Source organism: Homo sapiens, chromosome 4 (assembly GCF_000001405.40).
Source record: "Homo sapiens chromosome 4, GRCh38.p14 Primary Assembly".
Lineage (NCBI taxonomy): Eukaryota > Metazoa > Chordata > Mammalia > Primates > Hominidae > Homo > Homo sapiens.
The window spans coordinates 86,531,825-86,556,557 of NC_000004.12; the positions used below are offsets into that span (position 1 = coordinate 86,531,825).

The 24,733-nt window shown below is 40.8% G+C and overlaps 1 protein-coding gene and 1 non-coding gene across 6 annotated transcripts in view, besides 1 other annotated feature; both read right to left on the bottom strand.

Moving 5' to 3' along the window:
• The window catches only part of MAPK10 (mitogen-activated protein kinase 10), a 583,670-nt gene that overhangs the window by 521,420 nt on the left and 37,517 nt on the right, over positions 1 to 24,733 (bottom strand). The window lies entirely within an intron of this gene.
• On the bottom strand, positions 10,658 to 10,728 carry MIR4452 (microRNA 4452). The gene has a single exon (NR_039657.1). It is a non-coding gene; the product is annotated as a microRNA 4452 (primary transcript).
• Positions 15,542 to 16,042: an enhancer, noted in NCBI's record as "H3K4me1 hESC enhancer chr4:87468519-87469019 (GRCh37/hg19 assembly coordinates)". NCBI's record gives its function as "activates a minimal SCP1, AML or CMV promoter by ChIP-STARR-seq in primed H9 embryonic stem cells {active_cell/tissue: H9 hESC(primed)}" and the evidence as "EXISTENCE:reporter gene assay evidence [ECO:0000049][PMID:30033119]".

Here is a 24,733-nt window from a genome sequence, read left to right on the forward strand (position 1 = left end):
ACTTACCAGTAGGAAATGGTGACAGGAGCCACTCATCTCCAAACTGGGTCCCATTGTCTTAGACAAGAAGCTCCAGGGCAGGCACTGGGCACGATGGTTTGCACCTGTAATCCCAGCTATTCAGGGAGCTGAGGTAGAAGGATTGCTTGAGACCAGGAGTTCAAAGACAGCCTGGACAACATAGTGAGACCTCTGTCTCTAAATTTTTTTAATTACATATATATATTATTTTTTATATATATTATTTTTATATATATACATATATATATACATACATATATATATAATTTTAAAAGCTCCAGGGCAAAGAAGCTCCCATCAAAATCCTTAATCTAATTACCATTCAATTCAAATAATATTTAATGAGGAATAAAGAATTTAAGACTTTGTGCTTCACACTACAAGGGACACTATCTTTAAAGTGGTGCTACCTTCAGGTAGTTTATATTCTCCTAGGAGATGGAGACATTTCCCAAGCTACTATAAGGCAAGAAGTGCTAACTATTCTAATCAAGCTCAATGACAGTTGAGGCAAAGGAAAAGATAAACATTTTCTACTGATGTCTGTTGCTTTCCAAATAATCTGAATAACTTATTTGCCAATAACTGGCTTCTACCCCTATCTCCTTCTGCATTCCATAAAGCCCCAACCAAACTGGTCTACTTAGGTCCAAAAGCATGTTGTGGTTTCCAGCTATCGGTCCTAACGCCACCTCCTCTGGAGTAAATCATTGTTCCAGTCCTCTCTTCCTATCCAAATGCTACTCATTTATATACCACCTTTTCCTTAAAAACTTTCTTGGATCCACTGAACTCTTATCTTTTCCCTCCTTGGCACCTGAGCCAAGTGGCCTCTCCCTCCTAGGTATCTGAGTCACTCACTGGAGAGTCTTTCCCTCCACTTTTCTGAATCTCCAATGACCTCCATAAGCACTACTACTCTTGGGCCCACAGGTTTACCAGGTTCTTCCTGCCTGACATCTCCATCCCAGTCCAGTATCCCAGCCTCACACCAGTGGCCTCTGCCTTGTGGCTTGGTCCTTCCTTGCCTGGTCCACAATCTCCAGCTCTACCTCTAGCAGTTAAGGGATTGGGGCCTTTGTGTTGGCTACCACAGTATCCTACCTCTACTAATGACTTTGCATATTCTTCCCCTCCAATGTGTGTTTTGTGTGTCCTGCTATTTATCTTAGCCTATGAACTGCCTCAGGAAAAAAAAAACAAACTCAGCATAATTTGACTGTGACTACTTTAAGGAATATAAGTAGAGCACCACAATATAGATGAACCTTAAAAACATTATGCTAAGTGAAATAGGTCATACACAAAAAGAAAGATACTGTATGATTTCATTTACACAATGTGCCTAGAGTAACCAGATACATAGAGAGAGAAAGTAAAACACTGGTTACGAGGGGTAAAAGGGGGGGAAAATGAAGAGTTATTGTTTAATGGGTACAGAGTTTCAGCATGGGATGAAGAAAAAGTTCTGGAGATGGATAGCAGTGATAATTACACAACAATGTGAATGTACTAAGTGCCAATGAATTGTGTACTTAAAAAAGATTAAAATGGTAAATTTTGCTATGTATATACCATAATAAAATAAAGAAATAAAAATTTTAAATGAATTGTTCAAAAAAGTACAGTACTGAGGGTTCAGTAGAAAACCAAAATGGAGATCTCCACCAGTACCCATCCTTTTGAGATTCCTAACTAGTGGGCTAAATATCTCCCCTACTGTGATATCCTAAGACAATATTTGCTCTGCAAGTACCTTTGGTCTTTCTCACTACAGTCTTCACCTCCCAGGATCAAGTGATCCTCCAACCTTAGTCTTCCAAGTATCTGGGACCACAGGTGTGTACCACTTTGTAGCCTGATTCTGAATGGTATTACCTTAAAATCAAGTGTATTAGTGGTTTGGAGCCAACAGTTACTGAGCAAACATATTTCATTAAAATATTGCTTCCTATTCACTATCCCACTGTTGGACTTCCCACCTCTGTGGACTTCATGCCCCATGGACTCAACCTTATTTGCTTCCTGAATTGTGAGCATGTTTCTCTCACAAGAGAGGAACCAATCCCCTCCAATGTCCCCATTTTCCTGTTTATCTCACAGAAGCACCATTACTCTCCTAGAATCATGAGCCCCTGGTGCCTCTAAAGACACAGCCCTCTTCTACCTCCCCAGGGATCCTGTTGCCATAACCACTAAATTTATTTCCCTTACAGCTCTCAAGGCTCTTCATTAATACTTGTCTTCCCCACCACATAATGTTTCCTTATATTATTTACCTCTCTAAAAGGCAGAGGCCCTGTCTTATATGTCTTTATACTCTTTGCAGTATCTTTGACTATGCATGCCACATTTTTTGAAATATAACTAGTATGTCACTTAGACATTTTCAGGAATCATCACAACACCAATACAGAAAAGACTTAGTTATAAAATTAACCACAGAATTTCTTTAAGAATAAATTTATTTTTTAATATTTTTCTTCTGCTTGCCTAAGTTCCCAACATTTCACGCAAGCTGTTACATAACAACTAGATGCAATGTGTTATCACAGGTTGGATTTTGGAAGACAAAAGAAACATTAGAGAAAAATGAGTGAAGTCTGAAAAAAGTCTGAAGTTTAATTAATAGTGATGTACCAATGTTGCCTTTTAGTTTTAACAAATGCACAATGGTATTGTGAGATATTATCATTAAGAAAAACGGAGTGAGTGGTATATGGAAACTATGTCCTATCATTACAATCTTTCTGTAAATCTAAAATTATTCAAAAATCAGGCCATGAGTCACTACTCACACCTGTAATCCCAGCACCTTGGGATACTGAGGCAGGCCCATCACCTGAGGTCAGGAGTTCGAGACCAGCCTGGCCAACATGGTGAAAATCCATCTCTACTAAAAATACAAAAATTAGCCAAGCGTAGTGGCACACACCTGTAATCCCAGCTATTCAGGAGGCTGAGACAGGAGAATTGCTTGAACCCAGGAGGCGGAGGTTGCAGTGAACCGAGATCGCGCCAATGCACTCCAGCCTGGGTGGCAGAGCGAGACTCTGTCTCAAAAACAAAAACAAAAACAAGAAGAAGAAAATAAATAAATAAAAAGCTGATTTTTAAAAGATCAGTTCATACCTTCTCCAGTCATCTTTAGGAGCAAAGGATAAAACGTCTGACCCTGCTGATGGAAGAGGTCACTTTTCTACCCTGGGACTTAGAAAACCAATGCCACAGATTCATGTCCATCTATATACATGGCTTAATACTCTTTTCCTATCCTGATTTTTAGGTCCTTGTTTCCATTTTGAGTTTTGTTGGTAAGAGAACGGAAATGGCCCCTTGAAATTTGTTTCTGAGAAGTGATCACCTGAGACTCTCCTACCAAAGCCAGAAAGTTCCAGAAAGAGTTTACAAAATTTGAAAATTTACAGAAAAAAATACAAGCTAATTACTGCCTGGACAGTTTTAACAATTCATTCAAAATGGGCAACCCAAGCATCACATGAAGATACAGCCTAAGTTAACTGTCTTGTATCACATTAACAATACACTTAATTAATCCAAGAATATATATATTTTTTGAGACAAACTATCACTCTGTCATCCCAGCTGGACTGCGGTGTCGCTATTGTAGCTCACTGCAGCCCTAAACTCTTGGGCTCAAGTAATCATCTCGCTAATTTTTTGTTTGTTTTTTTTAGAAACAGTGTCTTGCTATGCTGCCCCAGCCTCCCCAAGTGCTGGGATTACAGGCATAAACACCACACCCTGCCCAAGACTACACTGAAATGAGTGTACTTTTTTTTGTTTTTTCTTCCTTTATATATAGACTCACAGCCCAGTGTACATTTTATGCTATGAGATATCTATGTCTCCAAATACTCTTTAATTTACTTTGGTAGTAAAACAATCCTCAAAGGGAAAAATGAAAAACAAGCTGAGCCAAAAGAATGTGATCTACCAAATTCCCAGGGCTGAAATTTCAAAATGTTTTGCTTGTCTATTATAATCTGGTACAAGACACGTCAAAACATCTTATCAAATATGATAGATAAACCCAGAAGATTCCTATCAAGTCTATGGCCACTGTGCTCTTAGGGAATAAAGTAGACTCAAGAGAATCATAAGATGTAACCCAGAAGAAGTTCATAGTGAGGCTATAGTAATGCAATAAGGAAGAAATATAATAGGACATTTTATTTCCCCTTGTCCCCAGAGATTGACAACTATGAGGTTTTCTACTCAATTGATGTAGGAAAAATGGGGAGACAGTCTGGCTCAAGGCAACAACTATCTAATAAATAATTTAGTGTTGCATAGAAAAGCATAGTCTACACCAAAAAACCTCTTGAACACTCAGCAGGCAGTTTCTTACATAATACTTATAACAGTAAATATGCTCATATAAATTCATGCTTTCTTTGGACACTTTTGCCTTTCAATGTTTAATTTTACTTGACATAATTCAAAGAAGTGGAGCCAAGGGTAAGAAAGGGCTTTTTTGTTTATTTTTCTAGATGAAAACAGATGTGTATAACAGAACAATCCTCCACATGCAACTAATGTATTCAGTCACAGAACCCAGACACGATTACGTTTATTCATCCTAAGGCTTCACTTTTTAATGAATAGCTTTCACTATTTAATTTTAAAACTTTCCAAATGGGACATTATATTACTGTCTTCTTAAAAGAAAAATTTGGTCTTGGGAAAATTCAGCTTTATTTTTCTTCCTTTAGTTGTAGATACATAATCTCAAACAATTTGCTTCCTTTTTCCTCAGGTTGTCTTTCTACTACTATCTTCAAAAATAAAAATAGTCATTTTTTCAACATTGTGCATTATACTAATCAAAAAGCTATTTACATGGAAATATAAAGAATTATTTAGTAAATGATGATTTGATATAAGTAAAATTATCTTTAAATCATACCGCATTCCCATAGATTAAAAAGACAATAGTAAAAATGAAACCATAAAGATCTATAGGTAGCTCTTGCCTTTCTTCTTTCTCTTTCCTTCTTTTCCAGAAGAATTTGGTTATAAAGCCTTTCAGCAGAGACAAGTAGGATAGGATAGGCATTTGCAGCAGGATAGGGAAAGCCATGGTGGTAAGATGAGGGTAAGATGAGCATCTGCATAGGAGAAGGCCTAGCATAGATGTTGGAAGCTGGGCAGGGTGAGGAGGGTACGCAGGCATGAGGGTAGCCTGACTCAGGTTGTCGGAACCTCAGTAGGATGAAGAGGGAATACACACAATGGCGTCCAACAACAGTAGCCCTGCAGGGAATGTTGGAGCCCAAGTGATATAAAGAAGTCTTTGTTGTGAGAGGTGATGATGGTGGCAAAGGCAGAGTGGTGCATATGAGAGAACTGATCAAATAAGTAAAAGTACTAACAATAATGAGATCCAGGAATAAAATGAGACTGAACTTTGTGGTGATAGATGGCAACTATAGGCATCAGTGCAAATGCAGTGATTTCCAGTGTTATTTATATAAAGGGAAATAAACATAGATATAAGTGTGTGTATGCAAATATCCCCTAGCTCTATTCACAGAGAAAGAACGGTGATATCCCAATAGTAATAATTGCACCCAGCATGCAAATCATGGTTTCTAAATACCATTCTTCCCCAAAGGAACCAGGGTTCCTTGGAGAAATGGCTGATTCAAGAGCTGGAGCAGAAAGTGTGCCAAATGAGCATGAAAAATCTGATTGTGACACGTCAAAAGGACAGAGAAGCCAGTTTATAGGTATTCAAGTCTCAAGGTACCTCCCTGAGAAATATTTTTGGTTCTATCTCTTGTCTATTATTCTGTCAGGTTGTTTGTGTTTGTGTTATATTGCTTTTTGAGATTCTTTACCTATTTTGCCAACCACTCCTTTCTAGGTTATATGTGTGGAAAATGTCATCTCCTACTTTGTGGCTTATCTGGGCACTATTTTATAATATCTTTTGATAAATGGCCATTATTAATTTTAATATGGTTGAATTTATTAATCTTTTTCTTTATGGTTTGTGCTTTCTGAGCCTTGTTTTATAAATCTTTTCCCACCCCTCTTTTGTAAAGATAGTGTCCTGTGTTCTAAAAGTTCCAAAGTTTTATCTTTCACAGTTTAGTCTTTAATTCACACAGAATCTATGTTCATGTATGGATTGGTGTAGTAAGATAATTCCTCCTTTTTGCTTATGGGTAATCAATTAACCCAGCACCATGTACTGAATAGTCACTCCTTTCCCACCTGAGTATTTTATCCCAACACAAATCCCACATTGTGTTAATTACTATAGCCTTATAATAAATCTTTTTTTTTTTTTAGACGGAGTTTCACTCTTGTTGCCCAGGCTGGAGTGCATTGTCACAATCTTGGCTCACCGCAACCTCTGCCTCCCAGGTTCAAGCGATTCTCCTGCCTCAGCCTCTCGAGTAGCTGGGATTACAGGCATGTACCACCATGCCTAGCTAATTTTGTGTTTTTAGTAGAGATGGAGTTTCTCCATGTTGGTCAGGCTGGTCTTGAGCTCCTGACCTCAGGTGATCCGCCCACCTTGGCCTCCCAAAGTGCTGGGATTACAGGTGTGAGCCACCGCACCCGGCCCTGAGCCACTGCGCCCGGTCCAATAAATCTTAATTTCTGGGAGACAAACCTCCCTGTTTTGCTCTTTTTCGTTAAGTGTATTTTGGATGCTTTTAGCCTTTTCCTCTTCCATATAAATTTTAGAGTAAACCTGTAAGGTTTTACATAGAACCTTTTTAGACTTTGATTAGAATTGCATTGCATCTATAAACCAATTGGAGAGTAGAGCTGTCCTTAAAATATTCACTCTTCCTATCCATGAACAAGGTACTCCATAGGATGTTAAACTTTTGTACATATAGTAATAAAAATGAAAAGACCAAAAAAGGGGAACTACTTCTAACTAATATGATAGCTCAAGGGCTTATATATCTAATATTCTTAAATCTCATACTAAAACACCTTGAGATAATGAGAAAGGACTTAACCAGACAATTCATAAGAAAGAAACAGAAATTAGAAATAAATATACAGAAAAATGCCTGGCCTCCTTAATAGTAAAGGAATGCAAATTTAAAAACCTACAAGATATTATTTTCACTTATCAAATTAAAAATCTTTTTTTAAAAATGCTGTAATAGGCACATCAGCTTGAGTCTAAGTGAAAATCAATCCCCATCAGTGTTGTAGTTATGAGGTGGGCTTGCAAAAAACCGATTTGTATGCAAACTGAAGAGCCTCTTGGAAAAGAATATATTCTAAGGAAGAAATTAGAAATAATGAGCTCAGCCCAGGAAAACAGGATCTGTCATTCAGATTTGTCTTCTAGCCGAGTTCCCTCACTGAACTCCTACAGAGGAAGGAAGAGAGGGCATCCAGAAAAAAAAGATAAAGAAAAAAATCTGAAAGAGCAATTTCATCAACATCTTTAAAGCACTGGAACATACTAGCACAGCTTCGGGTCTATTACAGTGACACACTGAGGGAAAAGACATCGTCCTACACTTTGCACAAAACCCTCTGAAGCTCCAAACCTCAGCTACTAGATGAGGCAAAGCCAATCAGAGGGAGGTTGGAATATAAGCACAAGCATGAAAGCCCTGGTGCTTTTAGAAACCCTTGGTCGCAGGGATTAGTGAGAATTTCCAAAAGCATTAGAGGTCTTACATCAGCTAGCAAGAGGGGAAAAGGGCAATACTGAAGTTAGTTTTTAATATATGCCCTTTCTGTTCCTATAAACTAATGAGGGCTGCAAGAGGCTAAGATTAAATCATTATTCAATGTCAGCAAGTGTGTAAGAAGTCTCAAGCCCTCCTATACTGTTGGCTGGGGCACATGTGAGAACAAGCTTTTTGGGAACCATTTTGCAACATATATGAAGAATATTTTCAAATTTTAACTTTCTGATCCAATAACTGTCCCACTAAAATGCTTGTCAAATAGAATAAGAGGCATATAGAAATGTGTGTCCAAGGATGTTAGTTACAATCTTAATTATAATAACAAAATCTTCTAAATATTCAATCATAGGAGGAAGGTTAAATGAGTTGTAGAATGACTAAGCAAATCCGATGCAGCCCTGGATTAAAAAATTATCTTGGTAGTAGAAAACATAGGGTATCAAATTGAATGTGGAGCTGTCATTGGAAAATTTTAACCAAAGGGTTTTTTCCTTTTCACAAATTATTTCTATTGCCCTATAACAATTAGATTAATACTGAATCCATCCATTGGGTCAATCAGAGCCATTGTCTTTGGGAGAGGAGAAATCCATTGCATGCTTAAATGTGTTTTAACTCATAGCAGGCTTATCACCCTGAAGCAAAGCACCTTTGATATGTAAGAACTGGGCCATGCACAGTGTGTTAGCTCACACCTATAATCCTAGCACTTTGGAAGGCCAAGCTGGGCAGATCCCTTGAGCTCAGGAGTGAGACCAGCCTGGGCAACATAGCGAAACTCTGTCTGTACGAAAAATACAACAAATTAGCCGGGTATGGTGTCGCACACCTGTGGTCCCAACTACTCAGGGGGCTGAGGTGGAAGGATCGCTTGAGCCCAGGAGGCGGAGGTTGCAGTGAGCCGGGATCACATCACTTCACTCCAGCCTAGGCAACAGAGTGAGACCCTGTCTCAAACAAACAAAAAAACTGGGCAATTGAAAGAGAAGGATTTTCTTTTGAATTAATAAAAACGAACATGATTGGAAAACTGATGCAGAATCTAGAAGACGAGAGCACAGAGATTACAAAAGTTAATCACAGAATAAAAATAATGCAGTACTTAATATATTCTTGCCTGATAGCAAGGAAGAAGAATAATTCCCTTCCTGGGCTGCAGGGAAGAGCATGGAGAAAGAGGGAAAAAAGAGAAGAAAGTCAGATGTAGGAAAAGTCCCTGAGGGGACTGGCCTCTTTCCAAATAGGTTTCTTGACATGAGAAAAGAAGGTACTTTGGGGTAGGCGTGGTGGCTCATTCCTGAAATCCCAGCACTTTGCGAGGCTGAGGTGGGAGGATCACTTGAGCCCAGAAGTTTGAGACCAGCCTGGGCAACATGGCAAGACCCTATCTTGAACAACAAAAGCAGAGGTACTTTTGTTAGATTTCCTACATGAAATCAGGGAGGAGCCACTTTCAGAATGCCCACTGATAACGCAGGGTGGCTGCAAAGAGTATGAATGGCACCAAGTCAGGATTGGGGTGGGGTGGGGGCTGAGAGAGGCTCCTACCCTACCAGCCCCTACAATCCCCATGGGGCATTCTTGAAATCTTGAAAGGGGCATGGGAGAGATCTGGGAACAATGCGACAGCTGGCTTATGGGGAAAGTGGGGAGTGGGGGCAGGGGAGACATAGCAGAGAATTGGGAGGTCCCACACTAAAGCCAGGGGTAGTTGGTTCTCAGCAGCAGCAGGAGAAGATAACCAAACTCCTGGGAGTAATTGCTCTGCACTGCACTGCCCAGTGTCCAGAACAAACCCATAGGCAAAATCCATGTAAACAAGACTTCACAGCCAGGAAGGAATGGAGGGTCACACAAAGACCAGATATGCCTTCCTTGCAGCAGGGTGGTAGCGTGAGCTTTTTCTATTCCCAAAGACCGCCACCAGGAAGGGGAGAAGAAGTGGTAGAAAGGAAAAATCTTGAGAGGGAAAAATAGCCCTGAGAGGGAGGCTGAACTTCAAATGTGATAATAACCTCGAAGAGACAGACAGAGTTGCACTGAACTAGTGACAAAATAAATTCAGTTACAGAGAAATTTAAAGAAACTCTGTACTCATCCAAGATATGATTGTGAATTTCAAAGCTGGGACATCTATCTACAGTGCTATTTTGGTCTACCCAGTAATTATTCTCTATTCTGAGAAAAAAGCAGCTCTGAGTTTCTGCTGCAGAGCTCCCTGAACCTTCCTGGGTCCTAATCTTCCAAAGCCTGGGTGTTTTTTATTCTGTGGACTGCCAAGAAATTCCTTTCCTTCCTTAAGTTTGTAACTGGGTCAGTTTCTGTTATTTGCACTAAAGAAAGAAGCCCAGCTGATACAAAATATATAATCCCAATTTTGTAAATGCACATGAATACACCGGCACACACACACACACACACACACACACACACACACACACACACAGGTGGGGAAAAAGAAAGAAATAAAATATTAATAGTGATCCTATCTGGATAATCAAGTTATAAAATATTATTTTCTTCTATGTTTCCAAGTTTCCTATTCTCCATAATGAGTATGCATTATATTTTTATTCAGAATATTGAGAGATAGAAGTATTATCCATAATGTCCAGAAAAATAACATTAAGAAGCCCAATTACATTAAAAAGGTATGTCACGTCATTGGCCTTTGTCTCTTGGCACCCTGGGCCAGCCAGCAGATGCAAGCACAAGCACTGTTGGGCAGTGTGTTATAATGCAAAGAATACTAGGCCAGGAGTTCAGAGACCAGAGTTTTAGCTCTGGCTCTGCCACTGACAAGTTGTGTGATGTTTAATAAGTCTTTCAACCTCCTTTAGCCCCAAATTTCTTTATCTGTAACATGAAGGCTTCAACTCCCTAGCTGGACACAGTGGTGTGTACCTGTAGTCCCAGCTATTCAGGAGGCTGGGACAGGGATCACTTAAGGCCAAGAATTCAAGGCTGTGCACACTACAGCCTTGCACTCTTGGCCTCAAGTGATCCATGATCGCACCTGTGAATAGCCACTGCACTCTAGCCTGGGCAACGTGAGACTCTCTCTAAAAAAAAGAAACTCCCTATGATAATACAGAGTTCACTGACCTGTCAACCGTACCCTAGCTCAGGTTCCAACTGTCAACATTTCTCAGATATATGTATGAGAAGACAAAATTTCCCAGTATGCTAGCCAAAGTCTTAGAGAAAACTTTCAAGGGAACACTACAGACACTGCTTGCTTTGCTTTTGAGACTGAAACATAGCAATAGCACTGATGTTTTCCATCTTGTTTTCATGCAATCTCTGTCTGAAGGGACACTTCACAACCTAGCATTGCCTGTCACCAGCATGAAAGTGCAGCTAGTGCTTGTCGCTGGCATCAGCCCCAGATCCAGCATAAGAACCCAAATACCATCATGCTGGGGGGCACCTTGAGCACACTGCCTCACCATGCAGCTGGTCATCAGAGCCTCAGAGGGCAAGGAAGGTTCACGTATAGAGGGAACCAGTGAAAGGCAAATTTACTACTGCTGCTTCAATCTGTGAAATCGCAAAGCCAAGGAAGTTAAAGGGATGTGGTGCAATATTTCACACTAGATACCTGATCCGTCCAGGTGGGGGGACTTAGATGGATTCCCAAAGAAGTAGGTGCATTGAGAAGAGTACACCAGGAATTGAGCTATAGGAATAACAGAGACCAAACTAGCAATTTTACATCTGTTCAAAACTATGACCTCATCAAACTAATTTCTCAGCTAGCTTTTTTCTTCTTCCATTCTTGTATCCATGTCTTGCAGCTTCCTCTGGGAATCTTCTTCCTCTCCCTGTAGTATATGATGTCTAAAAATCCTCCCTGGCTTGTTGGGAACAAACTTCCCATACACCAGAGTGACATATGCCCTGAGACTCTACACGATGGCTGAAGAGACACCTAACTCACAGGACTAAGGAAAATGTAAGCCCTAAACCACTTAGCTCTGTGTCATAAAAATCTACTGTCCTTTATTCTGTTTATCTTTATTTCTAACCTAAGAGAAAAAGTAGAATGGAACAGACTGGGTAATCTATTCTAAGAAAAACTTGAATGTTTTAAACACAAAAAAGAGAAGAACTAAAATTTGAATGCAGAAAAGATACAATTAAGCACATTTGCAACCTTGGCAAGTACATGAAGAGGAGTGTAAAGGGAATTAGATTGTGTGGGAGTCAAGCTGGGTCCAAAAAAAACAGGAACGGGAATGTTTCAAGAAGGGATCTGAAGAGATACAATGAGTTACTAAGTGAAGAAGGGAAAGGAGAACAGAAAACACTGGAAGAAAAAGTCATTTCACTAAACAAACAAACAAAAATACCAACAACAAAACCTCACTGTAACTAGCAGTAAGGAAGTTTAATGACTCTGCATACTGGGTATATTCTGGATCCCTTCAGTAGAAATGTCATTTAAACTAAGACTGAAGAAAAGCAAAGAAGGAGAAACAGTGGTTTGTCTCTTTGTCCAATATAGTGTTGCTCATGTGGAGGGAGAGAATGGGGAATGTGGGAAGGGTTGAGGAATTCCAATAAGAAGATTATCACCCACAAAGAATGCCGGAGACAGGTTTTTTTCCACAAGAGATTAAGTCATTATTCTTAACCCAAGAGGTGATGGATTGTCTTTCTGGTGCTTACTAGTATAATAGCTAAGCAGAAAATAATTGTCTAATGTGAAGTAGGGGAGCTGGAGATAACATAGAAAGGATAAAAGTCCCTCAAATTAAAAACAAAAAGGCATCGACATGATTTGTGGTTTCAAAAAAACTTTTTTGGGGGAATAAAACAATGCTGACTTTGCAGATGAAGCTGACATCACAGATATATTGTAGTTACTGCCTACATACTATTCTTACTGGAAATGGAGCAGTGTAGGAAGCCACAAACATCTAAATAGTCATTTCTCTCTCTTTCTTGTCAGTTGCTTCAAGTCACAAATGCAGTTTCAATTCAACAAATCAAAGTGTCACCTGTTTACAAACTCCACTTTCAAATCTTTCACCAAAATCGGTGAGCAATACATGCTAATAAACAGAGAAAATAAAAAAACTAGAGTCACTTTGAGAGAAGTATAGTTTAGTGATTACAGAAAATATCATTTATATTTTGTTGCCAATGTGGATTTCTGTTAGTTTGTCTATCTGATAAGCTTCAGGGACAATAGTTGTATTGAATATTGAAAGGAAGTTGTTATGATCAGATTGCTTCCTGTGGTGAACAAAAGGCTTTTGCTGACATAGCAGCTTCATGGTTGCACACACAGCCCATAATATCCTTGTCTTTCAAACTGAAAGGTTTTTTTCTTTTTTTTTTTTTCACTATTTCAACAGGAAACAAAATCTTCAGACTTGCTTCCAAAGGAGAAGTTTGAAATGGAAGGGAGAAAGAGAGGAAGGGAGGGACGGCAAGAAGGAAAGAAGAGAGGAAGGAAGAAAGCAATGGCATGGCCATGTTTCTGTGTTGTTTTTTCCTACTACAAAATATTAAGATATTGGATAATAAAGGAGCCAAATAGTGTCACATGGCTCACGTGTGTATCAACAAGGCCCATGTGTGTATCAACATAAGGCTAAGAACACATGACAAGGCATGGATGGCCAAGGAGTCAGGATTTTGAAATGAGTGCAAGGACTTGTTTACATGAAAATGTTCAAAGGTAAAATCAATGTATCAGGTTAAAGGGTTGAGTCTGAAGAATGAGCGCATGAAAAAATGTGATACTTTCTCTTTTTTGTCATTGCTTTCTTTCCCCTCATCCGTGGCGGGGAGAGGATCTTTGGTAAGACAGAATAAAGACGGCATTTTAGTGAGGATGGGGGAAGCCTGAGGCAGGTGTGCTCTCTTCTGAGAACTTTCTCAAAAATCCACACCATTTCCATGGTGGTGAAGGCCGTGACGAAAAGACCTCAGAAGAATTACTAAAATAGCTTCTGAGGTTGCTTTCCAATGGCACAATGCAGGAAATGGAAAAGGGGCATGTATTGATAGCATTGTGTGTAAATGAACAATATACATGTGTATTGTATTTTTCATGGTGGGCAAATGGTGGGACATCGGGGAGAGGGGCTGAGAGAAGTCCAGGAAGCAGCATAAAGATCTTAATGGACAGGAAGGAGAAGAGAGGTGTTAATGGAAAGAAGGAATACATTTTAGCACTTCAAATACTGGTGTAGCTTCAACTCTGACCAGGGACATTTTGTCTTAGTGCCTAAATATATCCAAGTGGAATAAGCACGAATCTCACATTTTAAAAAATTAGCCATGCATTACACATACGTATCATTCTTCCTGATATTGTTAAAGCAAACCACTGCAACAACATTGGCTACAGAATTTTGAGGGCTCAGTCCAAAATAAAAATGCAGGGCTCCTTGTTCAAAAATTACTAAGGGCCAGGTGCGGTGGCTCACGCCTGTAATCCCAGCACTTTGGGAGGCCGAGGCGGGCGGACTGCCTGAGCTCAGGAGTTCAAGACCAGCCTGGGCAACAAAAAATTTAGCCGGGTGTGGTGTTGGGTGCCTATAGTCCCAGCTACTTGGGAGGCTGAGGCAGAAGAATCTATTGAACCTGGGAGGCAGAGGCTGCAGTAAGCCGAGATGGCGCCATTGCACTCCAGTCTGGACAACAGAGCGAGACTCTTGTCTCCAAAAATAAAAAATAAAAAATTACTAAGAATTTCAAGATGGCGGCTGGGTGCGGTGGCTCACGCCTGTAATCCCAGCAATTTAGGAGGCTGAGACGGGCAGATCACCTGAGGTTAGGAGTTCGAGACAAGCCTGGCCAACATGGCAAAACCCTGTCTCTACTAAAAATACAAAAAAAAAAAAAATTAGCCGGACATGGTGGCGTGAGCCTGTAATCCCAACTACTCAGGAGGCTGAGGCAGGAGAATTGCTTGAACCTGGGAAGCGGAGGTTGCAGTGAGACGAGATCGCGCTACTGCACTCCAGCCTGGGGGACAAGAGCGAAACTCCTTCTAAAAAAAAAAAAAAAAGAAGAAAGAATTTCAAGGTGGCAAAAATGGCATTAAACCAAGCAAGGGGCCCTTCTGAGTATAGGTCCTATGTGACTGCACAAGTCATATGCCCATGAGGCCAGCCCTACTCCAAAATTAAGACCAGATTTGAATGGGTTCCATGCAGTGCTTGGAGGGGAAAATCCCAGATGTAAACTCTCACTGTAAAAGTTCAAAAGGGGCTGGGCGGGGTGGCTCATGCCTGTTAATCCCAGCACTTTGGGAGGCCGAGGCGGGTGGATCACGAGGTCAGGAGATCTAGACCATCCTGGCTAACACAGTGAAACCCCATCTCTACTAAATATACAAAAAATTAGCTGGGCGTGGTGGCGGGCACCTGTAGTCCCAGTTACTCGGGAGGCTGAGGCAGGAGAACCGTGTGAACCCGGAAGGTGGAGCTTGCAGCCGAGATTGCGCCACTGCACTCCAGCCTGGGCGACAGAGCGAGACTCCGTCTAAAAACAAACAAAAAAAAAGTGCTAAAGGGAAAGGCTGATTATTGGAGTCAGAAGACTAGTTATCCTCTGCTTTTCTATGAGTGATAGTGAGAGGTGACAGCTTGCTGGCAGTTCTCACAGCCCTCGCTTCCTCTCGGCGCCTCCCCTGCCTGGGTTCCCACTTTGGCGGCACCTGAGGAGCCCTTCAGCCCGCCCTGCACTGTGGGATCCCCTTTCTGGGCTGGCCAAGGCCGGAGCCGGCTCCCTCAGCTTGCCAGGAGGTGTGGAGGGAGAGGCGCTGGGGGGAACCAGGACTGCGCGAGTTCCGGGTGGGCGTGGGCTCTGCGGACCCGCACTCCCAGCAGTCGGCCGGCCCCACCGCCCGGGGCAGTGAGGGGTTTAGCACCTGGGCCAGCAACTGCTGTGCTCAAAATTTCTCGCCGGGCCTTAGTTGCCTTCCCGCAGGGCAGGGCTCAGGACCTGCAGCCCGCCATGCCTGAGCCTCCCCCGCGCTCCCTGGGCTCCTGTGCCGCGGAGCCTCCCCTAAGAGCGCCGCCCCCTGCTCCACAGCACCCAGTCCCATTGACCACCCAAGGGCTGAGGAATGCCGGCGGCAGGCAGGGAGCTCCACCTGCAGCCTCCATTCAGGATCCACTGGGTGAAGCCAGCTGGGCTCCTGAGTCTAGTGGGGATGTGGAGAACCTTTATATCTAGCTAAGGGATTGTAAATACACCAATCAGCACTCTGTATCTAGCTCAAGGTTTGTAAACACACCAATCAGCACCCTGTGTCTAGCTCAGGGTTTGTGAATGCACCAATCGACACTCTGTATTTAGCTACTCTGGTGGGGCCTTAGAGAACCTTTATGTCTAGCTCAGGGATTGTAAACGCACCAATCAGCGCCCTGTCAAAACAGACCACTCGGCTCTACCAATCAGCAGGATGTGGGTGGAGCCAGACAAGAGAATAAAAGCAGGCTGCCTGATCCAGCAGTGGCAACCCGCTCAGGTCCCCTTCCACACTGTGGAATCTTGGTTCTTTCACTCTTTGCAATAAATCTTGCTGCTGCTCACTGCTTGGGTCCACACTGCTTTTATGAGCTGTAACACTCACCGCGAAGGTCTGCAGCTTCACTCCTGAAGCCAGCGAGACCACGAACCCACCGGGAGGAACAAACAACTCCAGACGCGCTGCCTTAAGAGCTGTAACACTCACCACAAAGGTCCGCAGTTTCACTCCTGAGCCAGCGAGACCGCGAACCCCACCAGAAGGAAGAAACTCCAAACACATCCGAACATCAGAACGAACAAACTCCGGACATGCCACCTTTAAGAACTGTAACACTCACCACGAGGGTCCACAGCTTCATTCCTGAAGTCAGTGAGACCAAGAACCCACCAATTCCGGACACAATAGTAGATAACTGCTATGGTTTGGATCTCTGTCCCCACTAAATTTCATGTTGAATTATAATCTCCAGGGCTGGAGGTGGGGTCTGGTGGGAGGTGACTGGATCATTGGGTTGGTTTCTAATGGTTTATCACCATCCTCCTAGTGATAGGTTCCCCTTTGCCTTCCACCATGATTGAAAGTTAGTAAAGGCCATCATGCTTCCTGTATAGCCCATGGAACCATGAGCCAATTAAACCTCTTTTCTTTATATACTTTGGCTCAGGTGTTTCTTCATAGCAGTGTGAGAACAGACTAATGCAGGTACTCTCAGTGCCACTCTGACCCTGGTGATTTTGAGATTCCACTAGACCACAACTTGCACACTATGAACAATAAGACAGCTTAGAAGGACATCTCGTATAGCTCTGTGATATGGAAAGACTAAACACATTCTGAATAGATTTTGGTTCCTTTAAAATGACTTTATATTTTTGTAACACTGTAAGGCCCGACTAAATATACGTTTTCACTGTTATGATTTAGTGATTCCCATTCTAGAGCAAAATGAAAATATTACTGATAATTCACTGTTTATTTCATGGAATACTAAAATACCAATATTAATGCAGTATTTTAATTTTAAAAAGCCAGTAAAAATATTTAATATATGTAAAATATAAAAGCTTATATATTATTAAACATCAAGTAAAAATAAAAACTGTAATTTTAACCATATCTTATCATCGTGATAGAAATTATCCAAAGTTTCAATTATTAAAAATAAAGTATTCAAAATACAGTCCGGCATCACTTAAGGACAGGGATATATCCTTCCAAATGCATTGTTAAGACAATTTTGTCCTTGTCTGAACATCATAGAGAGTACTTACACAAATCTAAATGGTATAACCCACTATACAACTAGGCTGTATGGTATAGTCCATTGCTCCTACACTACAAACCTGCACAGTATGTTATTGTACTGAATATGGTAGGGAATTGTAACACAATGGTATTTGTGTATCTAAACATAGAAAAGATACAGTAAAAACACCATATAAAAAGATAAGAAAGGGTATACCTATATTGGGCACTTACCATGAATGGAGCTTACAGGACTGGAAGTTGCTCTGAGTGAGTCAGTGAGTGAGTGGTGACTAAATGTGAAGGCTTAGGGCATTACTGTACACTACTGTAGACTTTATAAACAGGCTGTTTATTGAAACAAAATAATTTCCCTAGATATACTTTCCTATTAATGAAGAGCATGTTAGACCAGGCACGGTGGCTCATGCCTTTAATCCCAACACTTTAAGGAGGCCGAGGTGTGAGGATCCCTTGAGTCCAGGAGTTTGAGGTTATAGTGAGCTATGATTGTGCCATTGTACTCCAGCCTGGGTGACAGCACAAGGCCCTGTTTCTAAGAATAAACAAACAAACAAACAAAACAATAAGGGAAGAAAGGAGAGGAGAGGAGAAAGACAACATAAGTCACATTATACCTTAAAAGTCAGGTTTCTAGGAATTTTTCAGGCCAGAAAATAAATCTTACAAGTGATCTGTAAGTTGTTATGTATCAATACCTTTCAAGGATAGCTTTCAAGTAACCATGACTTCCAGGTGTATAGATTTACCATCTGCTTCAAAGACAAGAAACTTCTCCATGCAAATTTATACTAAGAGACATCTTTATCTCAAACCTTCAGGGCTTATACCCAAGAGTGAACTACTTCATTCAGGACATGGAAGCACATACATATAGAACTACTAGCCATACTCCCCGAGGAATCTGGATCTCACAGGGAGATTCAACGCCCTTAAAGTATGACAATGAACCGTTGTATATTTTTGGTGTGCTAGATCCACAGGGCTAATTTGGCATTCAGTTTGCAACAATTAAAAAGCTGCAGCAGCATTATATTAATCAGAAGGGCTAAGCAGAGCTTCAGTTAAAAAAAAAAAAAAAAAAAAAAAAAAAAAAAAAAAAACTCCAGGCCAGGCACAGTGGCTTACGCCTGTAATCCCAGCACTTTGTGGGGCTGAGGAAGGCAGATCACTTGAGGTTAAGAGCTGGAGACCAGCCTGGGAAACATGTTGAAATGCCGTCTCTACTAAAAATACAAAAATTAGCCAGGTGTGGTGGTGCATACCTGAAATCCCAGCTACTCGGGAGGGAGGCTGAGGCAGGAGAATCACTTGAACCTGGGAGGCAGAGGTTGCAGTGAGCCAAGATCATGCCATTGCACCCCAGCCTGGGCAACACAGCAAGACTCTGTCTCAAAACAAATAAATAAGTAAATACAAAATACACACACACAAAAACCTCCAAATGTCATGGGCTTAACCAAAATTTAATTCTTGTTCACATAAAGTCCCTTGAGGCTCATATTCCTCCGTGTGTTGGTCCACCTTCTAGGCTATTTTGGTATTATGGCACCTCCTCATCAGCACATGCTTCCACAAGTACCCTGGCAGGGGAAGAATAGGCTGGGCAATTGAACATTGGTAATAAATGCATTCTTCTGAAAGTGACGTACATCACTTGGGCACACATTTCATGAGCTAAAGCTAGTCTAACTTCAAGGAGACAGATAAGTAAAATCATCCTGTTTGCCTGAAATTAAAGAAGAACTCTGTGAACACAATAATGCCACCCATAGTGCATTACAGACATCAAGATTTGTGGCAATTTGTAGAGTCTGACCTCACTCTTCTAATATTTATAGTAAAAAGGATGGGTAGTTAACCAAACTGCATATGTATATGTGTTAGCCCCTCAAATGAAACCACTTCATTTACATTACTTTAAAGAAATGTGTGTTTTCCACTATTTAATGATCACATCATATGCTGAATGCAGTAATGTCAAGTTTTAAAATTTTGTTTTGCTTTTTGCCAATGAAACTAGGCAAAATGAGATGAAAGAATTTTGGCTGTGATTTTAGGAACTGCCTTTACTCAATGCTTAATTTTAACTAAGCATAACCAGTGAGTAAAATTTTGTCAAGATCATTCCTAATTTACAATTTTCATTAAAGCTGATAAAGTATACTCTTCAAAGAATAACATGAGTTTACTTCCTTCCTTGTTTTCTTCCTTCCATCTTTCCTTCCTTCCTTCCTTCCTTCTTTCCTTCCTTCTTCTCTCTTTCTTTCTCTCTCTCTCTCTCTCTGTCTCTCTTTCTCTCTTTCTTTCTTTTTGAGATGGAGTCTCACTCTATCACCCAGGCTGGAGTGCAGTGCTGCGATCTTGGCTCATGCAACCTCCACCTCCCAGGTTCAAGTGATTCTCCTGCCGCAGCCTCTCCAGTAGCTGGAATCACAGGAGGGCACCACCACACCTGGCTAATTTTTGTATTTTTAGTAGAGACAAGGTTTCCCCATGCTGGCCAGGCTGGTCTCGAATACCTGACCTCAAGTGATCCACCTGCCTCAGCCTCCCAAAGTGCTGGGATTACAGGCGTAAGCCACTGCACCCAGCCATGAGTTTTCTTTTTCCTAAATATTTTCTTGCAACTATTTGTTGCCATAACAGTTTGAACCTGAATTTTATTTTCATAGGATTAAAGGTAGATATTTATTTCTGCTGATTTTTTTCATTAGAGAATGCCTATTATTAAAAATAATTTGAATGGATTAAATTATATTTTAAAAAGAAACAAAGATGAGAAAATAAAAAATATAAAAGGGGGGCCAGTTAAGACAGGGAGAAAGAGGTCAGGCATGGTAACTCATGCCTGTAATCCCAGCACTTTGGGAGGCCGAGGCGGGAGGATCTCTTGAGCTCAGGAATTCAAGAACAGCCTGGGCAACATAGAAAGACCTCGTCTTTACAAAAAATAAACAAAATTAGCCAGGCGTGGAGGTGCATCCCTGTAGTCTGAGCTACTCAGGAGGCTAAGGTGGGAGGACTGCTTGAGCCCAGGAGGTGCAGGCTGCAGTGAGCCAAGACTGCACCACTGTAGTCCAGCCCAGGCAACAGAGTGAGACCCTGTCTCAAAGAGAGGAAGGAAGGAAGGAAGGAAGGAAGGAAGGAAGGAGGGAGGGAGGGAGGGAGGGAGGGAGGGAGGGAGGGAAGGAAAGGAAGGAAGGAAGGAAGGAAGGAAGGAAGGAAGGAAGGAAGGAAGGAAGGAAGGAATAGAATAAAATAAAAAGGAAAGAATATGCAGAACCTACTTGTGGGGAGACAATCCTCTGTGGGTCTCTTGCATTTCTGCACATTGTGTGAGAAGTACTAGCTTTTTTTCTGGATTATTTTTTCAAGGATATTTTTATAGAGAACAATTTTGGAAAAAGAGAGTGTCTCTTTTTAGAGCAGAGGGCAGGTTTGTTTGCTGCCCAGTATAATTAAGATAATGTTTCCCTCCAAGGCAAAGTTTAGATAGGTTTGCTTGCAGCTCCCCGATAATTTATTAAGGTTTCCTATGCTCAGGGTCCCTCAGCAGTGATACTAACCCACTGCACGTGCAGCTTTCACCCGGGCTTCCACACATCACATCCATGAGACTTGTAGGGGCATGAACGGTATGAACACGAAGTTCATGCTGCCTGTTGTCCTATGAGTAATTAAGTCTTTTTACTCTGACCCAGGAGTCTTCATGTCTTCTGCCGGCATCCATAAAACCGTGGCAGCTTACTTGAAAACTTTTTTCAACAAAAATAGGATGCTGACAGACATGGCTTTTTGAAAGAGAAAGAATAAGGGATCCTAAGAACTGAGTTAGAATTTATGAGAAGACTCCCCAGGGAAGTATTTACCTAGTAGTAAATACCTAGTAGTGGTAGGCAAGGGCATTTAGGAAGTGTGAGGGTCTCCCACTGCTCTACCTGTTCATGAATGTCTAGAGTCTGAGCAGCAAGAGATAAGATTGAAATAAATAATCTAAATGGTGTTTTAGTTGTTGTTCACTCTCCTCTGGAAGGGAGGAGAAAGGATAAAAGAGCCCACAAAGCTGAGAGAGGGCTTGGATCATCTGAAAACTTTGAAAATTAGTTTTGGTTGTACCATGAACAGCCTCTGGGTCACTCAAACTGGAAAGAAAATATGCTTTGCTTACTGACATGAAGCCACTCTCTCCTTACATAGCCCCAGATTCCTCCCACCATTGCTTTTGCCCTTATCCCAGCTGCTTAAAAGAGGAAGGTGGGGTCAGGGTCTCCCTGTCCCCAAGGGGGAACAAAAGCTACGTGTGCACTTTCAGGTATGCTGGGGGAACTTAAGGGAGGTGAAGGACTCAAACTTGGATGCTCTGTTGAGTACAGACATCCAAGTCACCCATTCTACCCAGTTCTGTGAGGAGGGGAAGTGCCTACATTCAATTTGTAGGATTTGGTCAGGGTTTGGGGTAGTGATGTGATGTTAACATGACCTTGTTTTCCAGGATGTCATCTACCCCTTATTTTCCTTCTACTTCTCTAAGTGCCCCACAGTTTTCTTTAATAGTTCCTTCTCTTCAGACCACTTCTTAATTTTTTTTTTTTTAGAATTTTTTTTTATTATTAAGAGACAGAGTCTTATTATGTTGCCCAGGCTGGCTTCAAACTCCTAGGCTCAAGAGATTCTCTTACCTCAGCCTCCCAAGTACCTAGGATTACAGGCACATTCCACCATGTCCAGTGACAGAAATTCTTAAAAGACAGAAAGGGGAGGAGAAGGCAGGACGAGGGGGTAGTCATGGGCCTTTAACGGGAAAGATTTGAACTGACATGATTATAGGTGGGCTGAGATTTTTATATTTTCAAAATGAGGCATGGGTTGAAAATAAATAAGGGACACTCTTAAATGCTGATTCTTCCAGGGTTTCATCCTTGGTGGTATGTTCGTTTTACATTTTTAGATATATTATTTCATTCATATTCTAAAAGCTACTGCTTATAGTTCCCAAGACTGTATCTCCAATTCTAACCTATCTTCAAGTTCCAGACCAGCTTTTTCAAATGCTAGTTAATTTGGCTATCACAAGGGCACTTGAACCTAATACATTTTTTAAAAAAGAAGACTGGAGTAATTATACTCCTAAATATTCCCAACTTTCCCATCAAGGTTAATGGAATCAACATCCTCAAGTTTCCCAAGTAAAAAATTCATCTGGAGTGTCCCTCTTACCACCCACACCCAAATTGTGTCAATTTTATTTCAGAAATATATAAAAAATCTGACCATTCTTCCCTATTTCCTCAGCCACTAATTCAATTCAGGCTCTTACGATTTCTGTCCTAGATTATTGCCACATTGTCCTATCTGGTCCCTCCCCCATCAATCTCTCCTATAATCCATCTTTTACATTCCTAACATCATTATTTTCTTACCAAACAAATATGATTACACCCTCCCCTTTATTTAACAATTTCCCCTGATTTTCCACTAGCTGCCCTATAAAAGCCAAGCTCTTTTGTATGGGCACAATGCCCTTCATGATGTAACCCCAATTTAGTGTTCCAATTTCATTTCCTTCCACTCCCCACCACAGCCCTAAGCTCCAAACCACAATGAACTTCTCATATATCTTTTCAAAACTCTATGCCTTTGCAAATTTTGTCTTCTTTTCTTCAGATGCCCTTTCTTCCTCTTCTGTATATAACAAATTCTCATTCTGTCTTCTAGACTATCCAAAGTTCATCTTCTCTGTCAAGCCATCCCTAATTTTCCTAGACTGGACAATAGTGCTTATTTCTGTGTATTCAATTTGTTTATTCATGTGTTTGCCTTTTCCATTAAACTAAGTTCCTTAAAAGTAGGGATCTGCCGGGCACGGTGGCTCATGCCTGTAATCCTAGCACTTTGGGAGGCCGAGGTGGGTGGATCACGAGGTCAGGAGTTCAAGACCAGGCTGACCAATATGGTGAAACCCTGTCTCTACTAAAAACTCAAAAATTAGCCGGGCGCGGTGGCCGGTGCCTGTAGTCCCAGCTACTCTGGAGGCTGAGGCAGGAGAATTGCTTGAACCTAGGAGGCGGAGGTTGCAGTAAGCCAAGATCGCACCACTGCACTCTAGCCTGGGTGACAGAGTTGAGACTCCATCTCAAAAAAAAGGAAAGTAGGGATTATAGGTTTTTTTATTTGGGGTGCCTAGCAGAATGTCTTGAATATGGTTGAATAAATGCTTATTGGCTGAATAACTTACTTTCTTATATCAAGTCAAGATTCACTGGATGCTTTAGCCTGAAATAAATTCTTGAGCAACCAAATGCTGGTATTCTGCATGTTTTGTATATTGTATAGTATACACATTTTATTATTTGAATCTTTCTTTCCTTGACTATCTTTATTTTGGTTATTTAAATAAATATAATGAGCTATAGCATAGGAAAGAAAACAACTTTAAATTTGTTCCTTATTAAAAGTGTAAGAAGTTGGGTAAAGGAGAATATTGAAACAATTAGATAAATTAAGGTTGAGGAGCACCTATGATTTGTTCTTGCATCCCTCAGAGTCAGGAAAATAAAGAATGTGACCATTTGACTAGATATAAATATATTACCATCCACACCATTCCTTATAATATCAGGAAGCTCATTAATAAAGTGGTTTAATTTGAAGATCCTCATGAATGACTTTTAGCTAGTAAGATTATAATCTGTTTAGAGTATGAATTTCAATGGTTTGAGCCATAACATTTTACAGTCCATTGCATTTTATCTGGTCATTTAATCAAACTGACCAAACACCTCCTGTGCCGTTTCAGAAATAGGTGGGAAATGAGGGGCTATAAACAATTCCTGAAGAAGGATGGGAACAATTCATGCTAGCAATGTAATATATGTTTTTAATTTAATGGAACCTGTTCTGTATCCATAGGTTGATGAAATTTGAGAAAATATGAGTTATCTATATCAGGTACCCTAGTAAATCAAATTCCCTGAGGACAAAGAACTTTTATTCATATTCATCTCTCCTCCTTCACAGGTAAAACATTCTGAATACATCTTTGTTGAATTTTATTAAATGAAATGCTTTATTTTTTTTACAAAATTCTAGATATCATAATAAGCCTTACTCATTTATTGTTTGACATAAGAAAATATAACACATGTGCACCTAAAAGAATTTTAAAAATTACCTTTATGTAATATTTAGCACAAATAGAGAAATGTTTTTAGATCATATTGAGGCAGAGGAACCTGCAAACTAATTG